Source organism: Homo sapiens, chromosome 3 (genome assembly GCF_000001405.40).
Source record: "Homo sapiens chromosome 3, GRCh38.p14 Primary Assembly".
Taxonomy (NCBI): Eukaryota; Metazoa; Chordata; class Mammalia; order Primates; family Hominidae; genus Homo; species Homo sapiens.
The window spans coordinates 186,518,414-186,531,749 of NC_000003.12; the positions used below are offsets into that span (position 1 = coordinate 186,518,414).

The 13,336-nt window shown below is 45.6% G+C and overlaps 2 annotated features.

The window, feature by feature from the left end:
• Window positions 998–1,057: an enhancer, noted in NCBI's record as "active region_20940". NCBI's record gives its function as "activates an Ori minimal core promoter by ATAC-STARR-seq in GM12878 lymphoblastoid cells {active_cell/tissue: GM12878}" and the evidence as "EXISTENCE:reporter gene assay evidence [ECO:0000049][PMID:35858748]".
• Window positions 3,043–3,242: an enhancer, noted in NCBI's record as "active region_20941". NCBI's record gives its function as "activates an Ori minimal core promoter by ATAC-STARR-seq in GM12878 lymphoblastoid cells {active_cell/tissue: GM12878}" and the evidence as "EXISTENCE:reporter gene assay evidence [ECO:0000049][PMID:35858748]".

The window sequence follows — 13,336 nt, forward strand, 5'->3', positions numbered from 1 at the left end:
AGGTGATTCCCATGTGCACCAGAGCTGAGAACCATTGTTCCGCAGAACATGAACGTTAGTGATGTCTGTGGTTCCAGGCAAACCCAAACAGTTTCCTGCCCTGTCCCGTTTCTTATCCATTTTTCTTACAAAAAGCTACAAATTAGCTTTTTGTAAAACATGCCTGGCCTTCCAGGACGGGAGGGACACGAGACAGACATGAAGCTGTTGCCAGCCAAGTCTTAACTAAATTCAGGTTCAGTCATATTACACGGGTTCAGTTCTGTTTCTTTAAACATTGCAACAATGGGATATAGTGTTTTGTGACAACTCTGAAAACCATAGCATGAAAAAATATCAAACTATTAAATGAAATAGCAGAATTTCCTCTCCTCTGTGATTGCAGCTGCATAAAAATATACATTTAAAAAGCCTAAAAATGAAAGCACAAAATGATCCTAATTTGGGTATTGGATGATTTTTTTTCTTCTTTCAAAACGTCTTTTGTGTTGATCGTTATACTTTTAAAACAAACAAACAAACAAAAAAACAAAAAAAGCAAATTAATGTCTGAATACTTGAATTTATACAGAGAATGACTTTCACACAGACCAAGAGGAAAACAGGTTACTGTGCAACCTATACAAACGCTTTCCCCTCTCTGGGCCTCAGTTTCCTGGCCTGCAGTTTGCACCAGAAGAGCTGCAAGGCCTCTTGCAGCCCCACACTCTGATTCCTGGCTCACATGACACCACTTTTATGAGACTAGTTATGCAAATGTTATCCAGTACGTTTCTCTTGGTGAGGAGTCAGGGCCAAGCAAGCTCTGAGACAAGCTGTCTCACCTCCTCATCTCCTGAGCACAACTCACCCACAGCTCTGCCCTCGCCTCCACCTACATCATGCCTTCCTGCATGCCAACTTCCCTCTGAGGTTCCCTTCACCCACTTACAACCACAGCCTCCTTCCGGACCTCCCCTACACGATGAACAGTCTGCCAGTTAATATACATCAAGCTGCCACCATGAAACAGCTCGGAAAGCCCCATTTGTTCTCAATAGCATTCCAGCTAGAAAGACCATCCACCACCCATGGCCACTGAAGAAGGTCCTCCCCTGAGTGCCAGGCAGTGGGGCTCCTAACTCTGGGCCCCAATTAGCTTAGCTTGGGGGAGCAAAGGACAGGAGCACTGTTCACCCAGTTGGACTAACAGCTCCACACTGTGCCTAATAGGAACCTCCTTCTCACAGGTGGCACCTTTGTGAATCAGGGTCTGTCCTGAGCCACCCTCCCTTGGAGAGATCTGAGCACTGAGAACCACAGAGCCTGGGACACCAGCACAGGGTTTGAAAAACTCCACTCCCAGTCAGCTGCGGTGGCTCATGCCTGTAATCCCAGCACTTTGGGAGGCTGAGGTGGGTGGATCACAAGGTCAGGAGTTCGAGACAGCTTGACCAGCATGGTAAAACCCCATCTCTACTAAAAGTACAAAAATTAGCCAGGCATGGTGTTGGGCACCTATAATCCCAGCTACTCGGGAGGCTGAGGCAGGGGAATTGTTTGAACCTGGGAGCTGGAGGTTGCAGTGAGCCGAGATCGCACCACTGCACTCCAGCCTGGGCGGCTGAGCGAGATTCTGTCTCAAAAAAATGGGAAAAACATCATTCCCATGTGTGTCCTGGTTGCTTGTCTCTTTCAAAGTACTGCATACTAAATGCTACCACCCACTGCTCCTTGTGTGCTGGGAGCTGCTTCAGACTTACTATCCCATTGAATGTTTTCAACAACCAAAATGGTAGGTACTATTATTTATAACCATGTTTTCAGATAAGGAAATTGAAGCTTAGACAAGTTAAATAATTTCCCCCAAACACACAGCTAAGTGGTAGGACAATTGGTTCTGAATTCAACCTGCTTGGATTTGAAGTCTGGCTCTGTCACTTACAAAGTGTGTGATTTTGAATGAATTATTAATCTCTCTGAACATTAGCTTGCTCTTCTATTAAATGAAGGTATTTATTTCTATTTATCAGGATGGAAGTGTAAGGATTAAATGACATAATCCATGTGAAATGCTTGGTACAATGTTTGGCACAGAATGTGAGTCCAATAAATGCAAACTATGGTTTTAGCCAGATGCATATCCCTCTTCCAGGCACTCAGAAATGACTTTCTGTAAGTGTTGACTTCATCTGGATGTGCCCCTTCACATGGGCTTCTGGCGTGCTGGGCTCCAGCTGTCACCATTTGTCTTCAAAAGTCCAGGCTTGAAGAAAGGAAATGACCAAACGCATGCACCAAATGCATCTCATTTTAAAGCCCACCAGCCCCGTGGACTTCGACTTCCAGATATATTACCTCCTTTTGTATTATTAGAAACTTGGTTGCCCCACACCAGTGGGGTGAGGTGGAATGCGGAGAGCAGACAGAATATTTATAAGAGATGAAATGAGATCACCTACCTAGAGACACACCCCAGAGGAAAGTAGGATAGTTCTAGAGCTTTGTGGATCAAACAGGCACTCTTTAATCCCTTCTGACACCTCCTTCTCCCCATGCTACCCAGTCCCTTGCTCCAGTCAGACAGAGACGGGAAACATTTTTTGCACAGCCAAAACAAAGCCACTCGGGATGTAAATAAAATAGTCTGAACACCCAGTTGATCCCTCTGCCTTTGAGACCGGAATCATCTGGAGGGTGGATAAACACTTTCCCTGCTCCAGCACTCGGAGAAATAAGGGAGCAATAGATTGCAGCAATGGCTGCTGGGAGTGTTCCGAACTCTGTGAACAATATGGAGACTGCTCAGTAGATTATGGAGGGGTAAGAGCTGAAGTGTGTGTGTGTGTGTGTGTGTGTGTGTGTATGTCTGTGTGTGTGTGAGAGAGTGTTTGTGTGTGTGATGTTAGTGATGTTAGTGATTTCAGAATCCAGGCCACTGATAAACCAATTGAGGTGTGGGTGACATGCAGAAGGGCCCCAGAGGTGTACTGCCCATCACATCCTTCTCCAGGGCACTGCTTGCTGAGTTCATGTCTTTGTCACTCAGCACTGCTGTGCCCACAATCTGTGGCTTCTTGGAGATTCTCTTTGTCTGTGTGGTCCTTGTCTGTGTGGGCAGCCCTGGGGGACCGCTGAGGTAACTCTTACCAGTAACTTTGACTCCAGAGTCCCCGGGGCCTGGGCTTCTGGGAAAACAAGGCTGTGTGAGTGTGAAACTCAAACTGAAAGGACTTTCTTCTTTTTTGGTTGCATTGCACTCTGAACAAAACTCACTGGCTTGTGACGAGCAGGTGCTGTGCAAAGGGAGGCATACCTCCTGCTACTATTCCTTCTCCTGGTGAAAGGCCACGCCCCCTCACTTGGCTCTCTGGGACATTTCTTCTGTCAGGAGGCCTCTGCAGCTGGAATGTTCGTCACTCTTTGAGGTTAGGCATCTTTTCCTTTCCTTTTCCTTTGGAAATCTGTGGTCCTCCCTTTGCTGTGACAAATTGCACGGTGTGGCCAGTCAACTCCATTCTGCCTCCTGGGAAGGCTCACGTGGCCCGGCCTCCATGAGGGCCCAGGGCCAGTGCAGGAGTCCTCGACTTGCAATTCTGCCCTTTTCCATCCAGGCTTTGTCCAGCTCTCCGTTCTGTTCTCCCATTCGGTGTCCCCTCCAGCCCCTTAGCCCCTTTCCAGCACATCATGCTCCTGCTTGAGGACTGAAGAGGAAAGAAAGCCCATCTGGGGAGGCAATTAGGGAAAGAGAAACAGAGGCAGAGAGAAGTAGAGACAAAAGATGAAGAGAAGGCTTCTGCCTGGGTACTGTTGCTCCTCAAGGGCCTGATTCTGGAATTTCCCAAATCCAGCTGTAATCCCATTAGTTAAAGTTAACTAACTTTTTTTTTTTTTTTTTTTTTTTTGACTGAGCCTCGCTCTGTCTCCAGGCTGGAGTGCAGTGGCGCGATCTTGGCTCACTGCAACCTCCACCTCCTAGGTTCAAGCGATTCTCCTGCCTCCACCTCCTGAGTAGCTGGGACTACAGGTGTGCGCCACCATGCACAGCTAATTTTTTGTATTTTTAGTAGAGATGGGGTTTCACCATGTTGGCCAGGATGGTCTCAATCTCTTGACCTCGTGATCCGCCGTCCTCAGCCTCCCAAAGTGTTGGGATTACAGGCATGAGCCACCACGACCGGCGAGTTAACTAATTAAATTTGCTTGCTATTTGTCATCCTCCAAAGAGTCCTAATAAATATCTCAGGCCCCTTCGCCCACCTTGCTAAGATTCTGTTGTGTGCACCTCCCCATTCTGAATGAAGTCTTCTCCAGGCAGAGTGAGCTGCTGCTGCCTCTCTTCCCACTGTGTTTTGTGCACAGTTCTGCTGTACATTATCCCATGTGTGGCTATGATCTAAGGAGCCATTTGCCCATTGATTTTCCCCATGACTTTGTGGCAAGGACTGAGTTTCTTTCCTGACTAGGAGCCAGGTATCTTCAGCGCAGCCTAGCACAGTGCTTGGCATATCATAGGTGCTTTATTAGTGTTCGATGAATCCATGAGCCAATGAACCAACAAAAGAATAACATGTTAGCGCAGCAAAATGCAAACAAGTTGTATGAAGCTGTCAAAAGTGCTTCTGGAAATTTTAATGTAATTTAAGTTTTAAGCATGCTATTTTGTGCAAGATACATTAGACTAATAGGAATACAGCCCAGAAACACATTAAACAGGGCTTTAATCATTGTCGCTGTCTATTGAGAGGACTTTCCCATCTTCTTTCTCCTAGTAACAGACTCCATCCCACTGGACAAAAAGGTGAGCACGTGACCCTGTCCTGGCCAATAGGAGTGGTTGCCTGATGTGAAGGGCCAATTCCCCACAAAATGAAAAGATCAGCTTGTTGGGGGACAGAGCAGCACCCTGCCCACTGAAGCAGAGACAAGCAGAGACGCGAGACAGATGGAGAGTTGGGGGGAACCTTGTGTCCTCAAGCCGGTTCCTTTGGCTCCTCTGTCTACCCTAGGGCTGCCCTTGTGTCCGCATTGGCTTGGAGAGCCCATGTATTCTCTTTCTTGCTTAAGCCAGTTTAAGCTGGGTTTCAAAAAGAATCCTAACTAATTCAGCATTAAATCTCCTGCTGGAATCTGGACCTGATTACCAAAGCTGTCCCAAAAAGAGATGGCTTTGTAATGCCAGCCCTTTGTTCCCACCTCTGTCTGATCAAGAGTTATTTGTGGACTTTGCCTTCCTTCTGGCTGCCGCTGATGTCTGTGACCCCAGTGACCCCAAAAAAAAAACCTCCGGGCTAGGTTTAAACATGGCCTTTATTAATCTCCTAGATGTGTGAGAAAATGAAAAAAGCAAGGTACAGTGTATAATCAGTAATGATTGATGTGCTGAAATAGGGTAGACATGGCCATAAAATGCATATACAAGCATGTAAGAATGGCAGCACCACTTGAGTGCTTGAATGTAACTCCTGTAGGGCAGCATTCTCAACTTTTCCACTTACTGCTCTATCCCCAGTGCCTCGAACAGGCACTCAATAAGTATTTATTGAATGAGTCCATGGAACCGAATGAAAGGAATATCCTTGAAGAAACACATGAGAAAATGGCATTCCTGAGCACCTGTTAGGGGGCAGGCAGGATGAGGGGTAGAAGAGGGATGAGAAGGAGACTGAGTACCATTCTATATTGTGTGCACTTTTAAAATTTTTTTTTTTTGAGATGGAGTCTCACTCTGTCACCTGGCATGCAGTGGCATGATTTCTGCTCACTGCAACCTCCGCCTCCCAGGTTCCAGTGGTTTTTGTGCCTCAGCCTCCCAAGTAGCTGGGTTTATAGGTGCGCGCCACCACACCCAGCTAATTTTTGTATCTTTAGTAGAGACAGGGGTTTCACCATATTGCCCAGGCTGGTCTTGAACTCCTGACCCCAGGTGATCCACCCGCCTTGGCCTTCTAAAGTGCTGGGATTACAGGCATGAGCCACCGTGCCTGGCCTTGTGTGCATTTTCTATACAGGTATCCTACCTTAAAAAAAAGAAAATAAAGCCAGGCGCGGTGGCTCATGACTGTAATCCCAGCACCTTGGGAGGCTGAGGCAGGTAGATCATGAGGTCAGGAGTTCGAGACCAGCCTGGCCAACATCGTGAAACCCCGTCTCTACTAAAAATACAAAAATTAGCCAGGCGTGGTGGTGCATGCCTGTAATCTCAGCAACTCGGGAGGCTGAGGCAGGAGAATCACTTGAACCCAGGAGGCGGAGGTTGCAGTGAGCCGAGATCATGCCACCGCACTCCAGCTTGGGTGACAGAGCGAGACTGTCAAAAGAAAAAGAAAGAAAAGAAAGAAAGAAAGAAAGAAGGAAAGGAAAAGAAAGAAAGAAAGAAGGAAGGAAAGAGAGAGAGAGAGAGAAAGAAAGAAAGAAAAGAAAGAAAAGAAAAGAAAAGAAAGGAAGGGAAAGAAAGGGAAAGAAAGCAGGACCCCTTGAGTCTAAAAATGGGTTGGAAAGAATCTGAAATCTGGTCAAGAGTATCTTCCTGGTACCGCACTCTTACAACAGAAGGGGAAGGGCTGGACACAGGACTAGTAGTACCTGCTCCCTCACCTTCGAAGAAGTGAAGTGAAGCCTTCCCTTTACACAGCATCCCTGCCAAGCTAATCTGCTTCTGGTTGTAAATATGGCAAACCTGGAGTATTTTCTTTCCATAAATAAATAAGGCTCCCACAAACAGCACAGCTCATTTGCTTTAAACACTGGAGCAACAGGTTTTCCTTCTGATAGCCTCTTGATACCCTGTCAACCTCATGGGATGTCGTTTCTGCTTTTTATGTTTGCTGATTTCACTGACACCTTTTGAAAAAGGTAGGCAGGCTTAGAAAAGAAAAGACCCTATGCATTTCATTTGGGCCAATTCTTTTACAATAAACATTCTTCTATTTCCAGAAGTACTACCAAATGTCCAATTTCAGTGCCGTCTTCAAAATAATGGGTAGCATATGAAAAAGAGAGATTTTGTACTTTTTGCCAGGAATTTTACATAACATATCTCATTTATATCCCGTAATAACTTCAGGCAGGAGATGGGACCACCCCATTTTGTAGAAACGGGGGCTCAGAGAGGCAGGTGGACAGCAGGGATTCCCACCAGACCTGTCTCTAAAAAGCACACTCCTTCCGCTCTGCCCCACCACCTCCCTCCATTTGCATAGCACTTGCAGTTTACAAGGCAGCTCATCTAAACTATCTAATTTAATCCTCACAACTCTAAAATCTAGGAATTATTTTAATTCTCATTTTACAGAAGGGGAAAATTGAGGCTCTGAGATCGGAGCACAGAGTCAGCATGACATAAGAGAGAAAGAGAACTGGTCTGTGCAGTGTTTGGGGGGCAAGGGTGGAGGGGGGTAGAGCCTGTGTCCTACTCCTGGCTTTGCACTTTGAACTTTGTGGTCAGTCATGCATTCTCTCTAGCCGTTTCCTATCTCCAAGGCAGGTCGATGGACGAGATGGTCTCATGTGCCCAGCAGCTCAAATAGTCAATGATCCTAGCAAATCTCTTGGTGTTCCTTGTAACCAGATTAGAACTTTAGTTACAAGGGGGAGCCCATGGAAACTTATGTATATAACCAGTTCCGGTGGGATATTTGCATTTGTTCCTACACTGAAGTTCACATTTCTAAGTTTCTACAGTTACAGTGTCTTAATCATAATGACACTGCTTCTAGAGTGCTAGTAAGATTCCTGTTGGAGCCAAATTGCTAATAGCACCCTGGGGATTTTGCAACTCTTGCTGTCATCCGCCTTTGGTGATTTTTTGAAAATCACATTTAAGTGTATTAAAATATCAGCTTTTTATTTAAAAAGAGGGAGCTCGATGCCAGTATCTGTACAAATGCAGAAAATGAAACTCTGTCCACCAGAAATAAGCCAGCCACATGGGTACCAACTCTACCGAGCTGACGGATACATCTGAAGAACCCAGCTCTGCCTGGCTGCCCGCAGCGGTGGGGGGGTTCCCTTTGCTAGTGGGAGTTGCCAGCAGCGTTGGCAGGCAAGTGTTGAATTAAAGCAGCAGCTGGAACCAGATATAGGTGGAAGCACATGACCCCCATCTGTGGCACAAAACTGGAGAGAAAAGCAAAAGAGTCACACAGGGTAAGGCAGTGGGGGCAAAATGGGCAGAACTTGTTTGAATCTGGGCTCTGTCACTTGTGACTTGTGATACTGGGCCATTACTTCATCTCTCTGAGCTTACAGGATGTGTTAGGCTGTGTTCCACTAAAACCAAAAACAAGGATTTGAGTAGAGGTAAGGTATTTGGGAGGTGACCCCAGGAAGCCCTGGTCAGAGAGTGGGAAAGTGAGACAGGAATGAGAAGAAAACCAGTGAAAGTTTGTCACGGAGCAGGTGACAAGTCTGTGGAGCTCAGCTCCACTGTGGATCTCTGGGAGACAGTGTGGAACATGCCTCAGGGTTGCCCCACCTGAGGGGTGAAGAAATGGGCATATTATCTTCCAACTTCCACCCATCATTGGTCAGGAATGATCCCAGAAGCATTAACTTCCCAGCATTTCTGGCCATCCCCATGCATTGGCTGAGAATTGCTGCAAAAATTGAATGGGCTTATGAGTCTTGACAAAAGGAAACAATCAAGAAAGTAAAGAGACAACCCACAGAATGGGAGAATATATTTGCAAACTACCCATCTGACAAGGGATTAATAACCAGAATATATAAGGAACTCAACTCAATAGGAAAAAAAAAATCTAATAATCTGAATTTAAAGTGGGCAAATGATCTGAGTTCACATTTCAAAAGGCTCACCTAGCCTTGAGTCCAGAAACCAGCTTCGGTCAGCACAGTGAAGATGGGTGGGTGCATCCAAGTTTGTAACTTACAAAGAGGAATAACTATCATAGGAAATGAACCCTTATGACTAATAGCAGTCACATTACTTGAAAGCCAAGTCAGAATCAGAGGTTTGCCTGAGAAACATGGAGCAGGATGAGGGATATTAGAGGACTCAAGTGTCTGACAGCTAGAAGCTTGAGTCCATCAGCAGTAGGTGAGTGTCCTGCTTGCTCCTGCCCAAGGGACAGCGACATCTAAAGGCACTAGCCAAGGCTTCCTCTTTCAGGAACAACACCTGGACATACCCACCTACTCATCCAACCTTGGTCCCCAGGACTCAACTTTTCTTATATTCTGTGGCTGGCCATGCCCCTTCTGTTTTTTGACTTGTTTCTGCATATAAGACATTTTTTGCTTCCAATCAGGATACAGTAAAACTGGAAGGATGGGGAGCCTATCTGTCTTATTAAGATGACTTTGAGGATCTCTGCTATATCCTTGATAAGGATACTTGATAACTTTAGGTCTTCAAGAGGACTCTTGTTTCTTTAAATTCCTAATGTATCAGTACTGGCAACAGTACACAAATAACCTGACACATAGTAAGTGCATGATAAATGCCCATTTAACAACAAACATTTACCCCGGTGATATGTGGGCAAAAGACACAGTCCTTGACCTCAAGGAGCTCACAATCTAAAGGAGATGAGAAACAACTACTCTGGATACTATGGACTGAGAAGCGGTGAAGCTGGAGTGTCACAGGAGCACTGAAGAGAGGTATGTTGTCAGAGAAGCCCCTGAGGGGACATCTAAGCTGTTAAAAATGATAAGGAGAAGACTCACAGAAAAAAAAAAAATGTAGGGAGGGTTATTCCCAGTGGAAAACAGCATGACACCCTTGGAAAATTATGTGATTCACTGCAAGTATATTCGATCGGAGGTGGGAGTCAGGGTACTGGGGGAGTGGAGAGCTATGAACCTTTGTGCCAGGTGGAATTAAGGGGCCCCTCTGCAGGCCTTAGGCTTTCCCAAGCCCCTTCCTCCAGCGGCGCTGCAGCCCCTTGCATTAGTCTGTTTTCATGCTGCTGATAATGACATACCCTAGACTGGGCAATTTACAAAAGAAAGAGGTTTAACTGGAATTACAGTTCCATGTGGCTGGGGAAGCCTCACAATCATGGCAGAAGGCAAGGAGGAGCAAGTCATGCCTTACATGGATGGCACCAAGCAAAGAAAGAGAGCTTGTGCAGGAAAACTCTCCCTTATAATAACCATCAGATCTCACAAGACTTACTATCACGAGAACAGCCTGGGAAAGACCCACCCCCATGATTCAATTAACCTCCCACCGGGTCCCTCCCACAACACATGGGAATTCAAGATGAGATTTGGGTGGGGACACAGCCAAACCATATCACCCCTCATGCCTGCTGGATGCCTCTGTGTACTGTGTCATGAAGTACATATGTCATGGTCCAGGAAGTTGGGATTTTGTTTGGCAAACACTTGGAACCCAGAGGATTAGAAGGGTTTAAATTAAGGATTTGACACACTCATGACTGTGTTGTAGAAAGAATGCTCTGAAGGCAGTGAGGTTCTTGATTTTTGAGGAGTGACAGAGAAGGCTGTGAGACCTGTGGGAGGACACACCAAGTACGTGTGCAGAGGCACAAGGCAGAGAGGCAGAGGATGGAGGATGGCTTTGAGAAATCCACAGAGGGTGGATTGGACAGGATTTTCTAACCAGCTGGATATGAGAGAAGAGAGGATAAGGACAGGATGATGGCTGGATCTTGAAGCTAAGAGAGAATGAGTCAGGAGAGGTAGATTTGGAAGTCATATGTAGGAAGAGAGGAAAGCTAAATCCATGAGAGAGTCAAGCGTGAAGAGGACCAAGAACAAAATGTCAGGGAACCCTGATATATTCAAGACAGGAAGAAATGTGCTGCAGTGGGGAGGAAGCTGAACAAACGTCTTTCTTTTCTCTACTAAGTAGAAGGTGGAGGTATCTGTGGAGGCCAGGCCATGTGATGGGGGGGACTTGGGGAGAGTGAGGAGGAAGCAGCTGCTGCTGAGAGTGGGTGAGGAAGCTGACTGGGGACATAGAGGAGGACTGCCAAGCACGGGTTGTTTTCTCCTGCCCTGACAGCTGCTGTCAGTCAGGGGACCAGATGGAATAATGAGGTAAGATTCTCCCAGCACAGAAGCTACACCCTGGGAGCAAAGCAGGTACTTCTAGTAAAGAATTTATTCCTCTGAACCACCAGAGGGCCACTGGTGCCTGATGGAGTAATTTGGTTACAGGAGTGTAGGAAGAAACTGTGAGATGTCCTCCCCAGTTACGGCCAGGAACAGGTCCTCCCTAACATTTGCAGACCTGGAGCAAGAATACAAACGGACGCCCACATACGCGACGTCTAAACATTTAGAATCTGTAAATTAAGCTATTCCTAGTGCCAGTCTGCATTCCTAGCTTGCAACCCAGAGGCAAAAGGAGCCAAGCCCTCCCCTAGGCCACCCCTGCTAACTGTGAACCTGGGAGTAGCTCAGATCTGCTGGGACAAGATGGCGCTAAAGCCGGACGTGGATTCCAGGACTCCCAGCTGATGACCTTCTGAACCCAGGATAGAAACTAACACAATCAAGATCCCCAGGAAGCCAAGGCAAATAGGTTTCACTTGTCATTTTCTCAACTCAGGATTTCCAGGTATTTCTAAGGACCTGCCAAAACTCCATCACTGGAGCAGAGAGAGGGGAAAGAGCACAGTTATCTTGGGGAAACTAGCCTGGCTATACACCCACTTTGGGTGGTTTGAAGCAACTATAAACCATAGTAGCCTTTCTGGAAACAACTCAATGTCCTTTAACTAGTGAATGGTAAAACATAATGGAACCAGCCTGACCAACATGGAGAAACCCCATCTCTACTAAAAATACAAAATTAGCCGGGCATGGTGATGCATGCCTGTAGTCTCAGCTACTCGGGAGGCTGAGGCAGGAGAATTGCTTGAACCCAGGAGGTGGAGGTTGCGGTGAGCCAAGATCACGCCATCACATTCCAGCCTGGGCAACAAGGGCGAAACTCCGCCTCAAAAAAAAAAAAAAAAAAAAAAAAAGAAAGAAAAGAAAAGAAAAAACAATGGGATACATCCATACGTACAGTAGAATGTCTACATACAGTAGAATAATACTCTAATAAAAAAGAACAAACCACTGTGCATGCAACAACATAGATGTATCTAAAGAGCATTATTCTAAATGAAAGAAGTTAGACACAGAAGTCTACATACTGCATGATTCCATTTACATGACATTAAAGGCAAGCTATGGGGAGAGGAAACAGATCAGTGATTCCACAGCAGGAAGTGAGGGGGCAGGGACAGAGATTAACTGCAAAGGGACATAGGGAGTTTAATTGGGTGATGAAAATGTCCTATGTTTTGATTGTGTTGGTAGTTAGCCAATTGTATGCATTTGTCAAAAGTCAGCAAACCAAACACTTAAAAAGGGTGAATTTTATAGTTTGCAAATGATACCTTAATAAAGCAAACCCCTCAAATAAGTAATTAGTAAGCAATTGATCAATCAATCAGACCCTCTTTCTCTAGTTTCCCAGAGAAGAGGCTGTGATTTTCTCCTTTCACCCACCTCCCTACTTGAGCATTCAGATCCGTATCCCCTAGTCTACAGAGTGTATTCCAGCCCATTGCCCTCTCCCATAATTTCCCTTCGCCCAACTGGTTACCAAACCAGACAGAGAGAGACAGAAAGATTTAGACAGGAAAGACAGAAAGTGTTTTTTTATTGTAGATTTTGAGATATGTAGGAACCTCCCCAAGGCAGAGAAGGGCTCCTCTTCCCAGGGCCTAAGGACAGTGTGAGAATGTCACTGCCTGAGAGAATCTGCTTTGATAAATCTAGGCATAGGTCAACTTTTAACATCCTATGGATTTTTCTCTCATTTAACACACAACTATTTGATAACAGACATTCTATGAACACTGAATTTTTGTTGAAATTTTGAGTGTACATTTTAAAAACAGTCCCATGGTCATTTAAAAGTGAATATTTTCCCCTAATCTACTGGTTGTGCAAATTTGAAATTTTTCCTGATTAGATTTGCTTAAAAGGAAAGGTGCCTGAAGAGTATGCCCCGAACCTCCATTGTGCTCTGCAGATCTGCCAAATTCATCCTTCCACTATGGCAGGACCCAGACAGAAACCAGAGAAATGGAGGGCAGGAGGGCAAAAGATCAGCAAAACCATGGATAAATACATTTATTATTTTTTTAATCTAACTTTAAGTTCTGGGATACATATGCAGAACATGCAGATTTGTTACATAGGTATACATGTGCCATGGTGGTTTGCTGCACCCATCAACCTGTCATCTAGGTTTTAGGCCTCATATGCATTAGGTATTTATCCTAATGCTCTCCCTCTGCTTGCCCCCCACTCCACGACAGGCCCCAGTGTGTGATGTTCCCCTCCATGTGTTCATGTGTTCTCA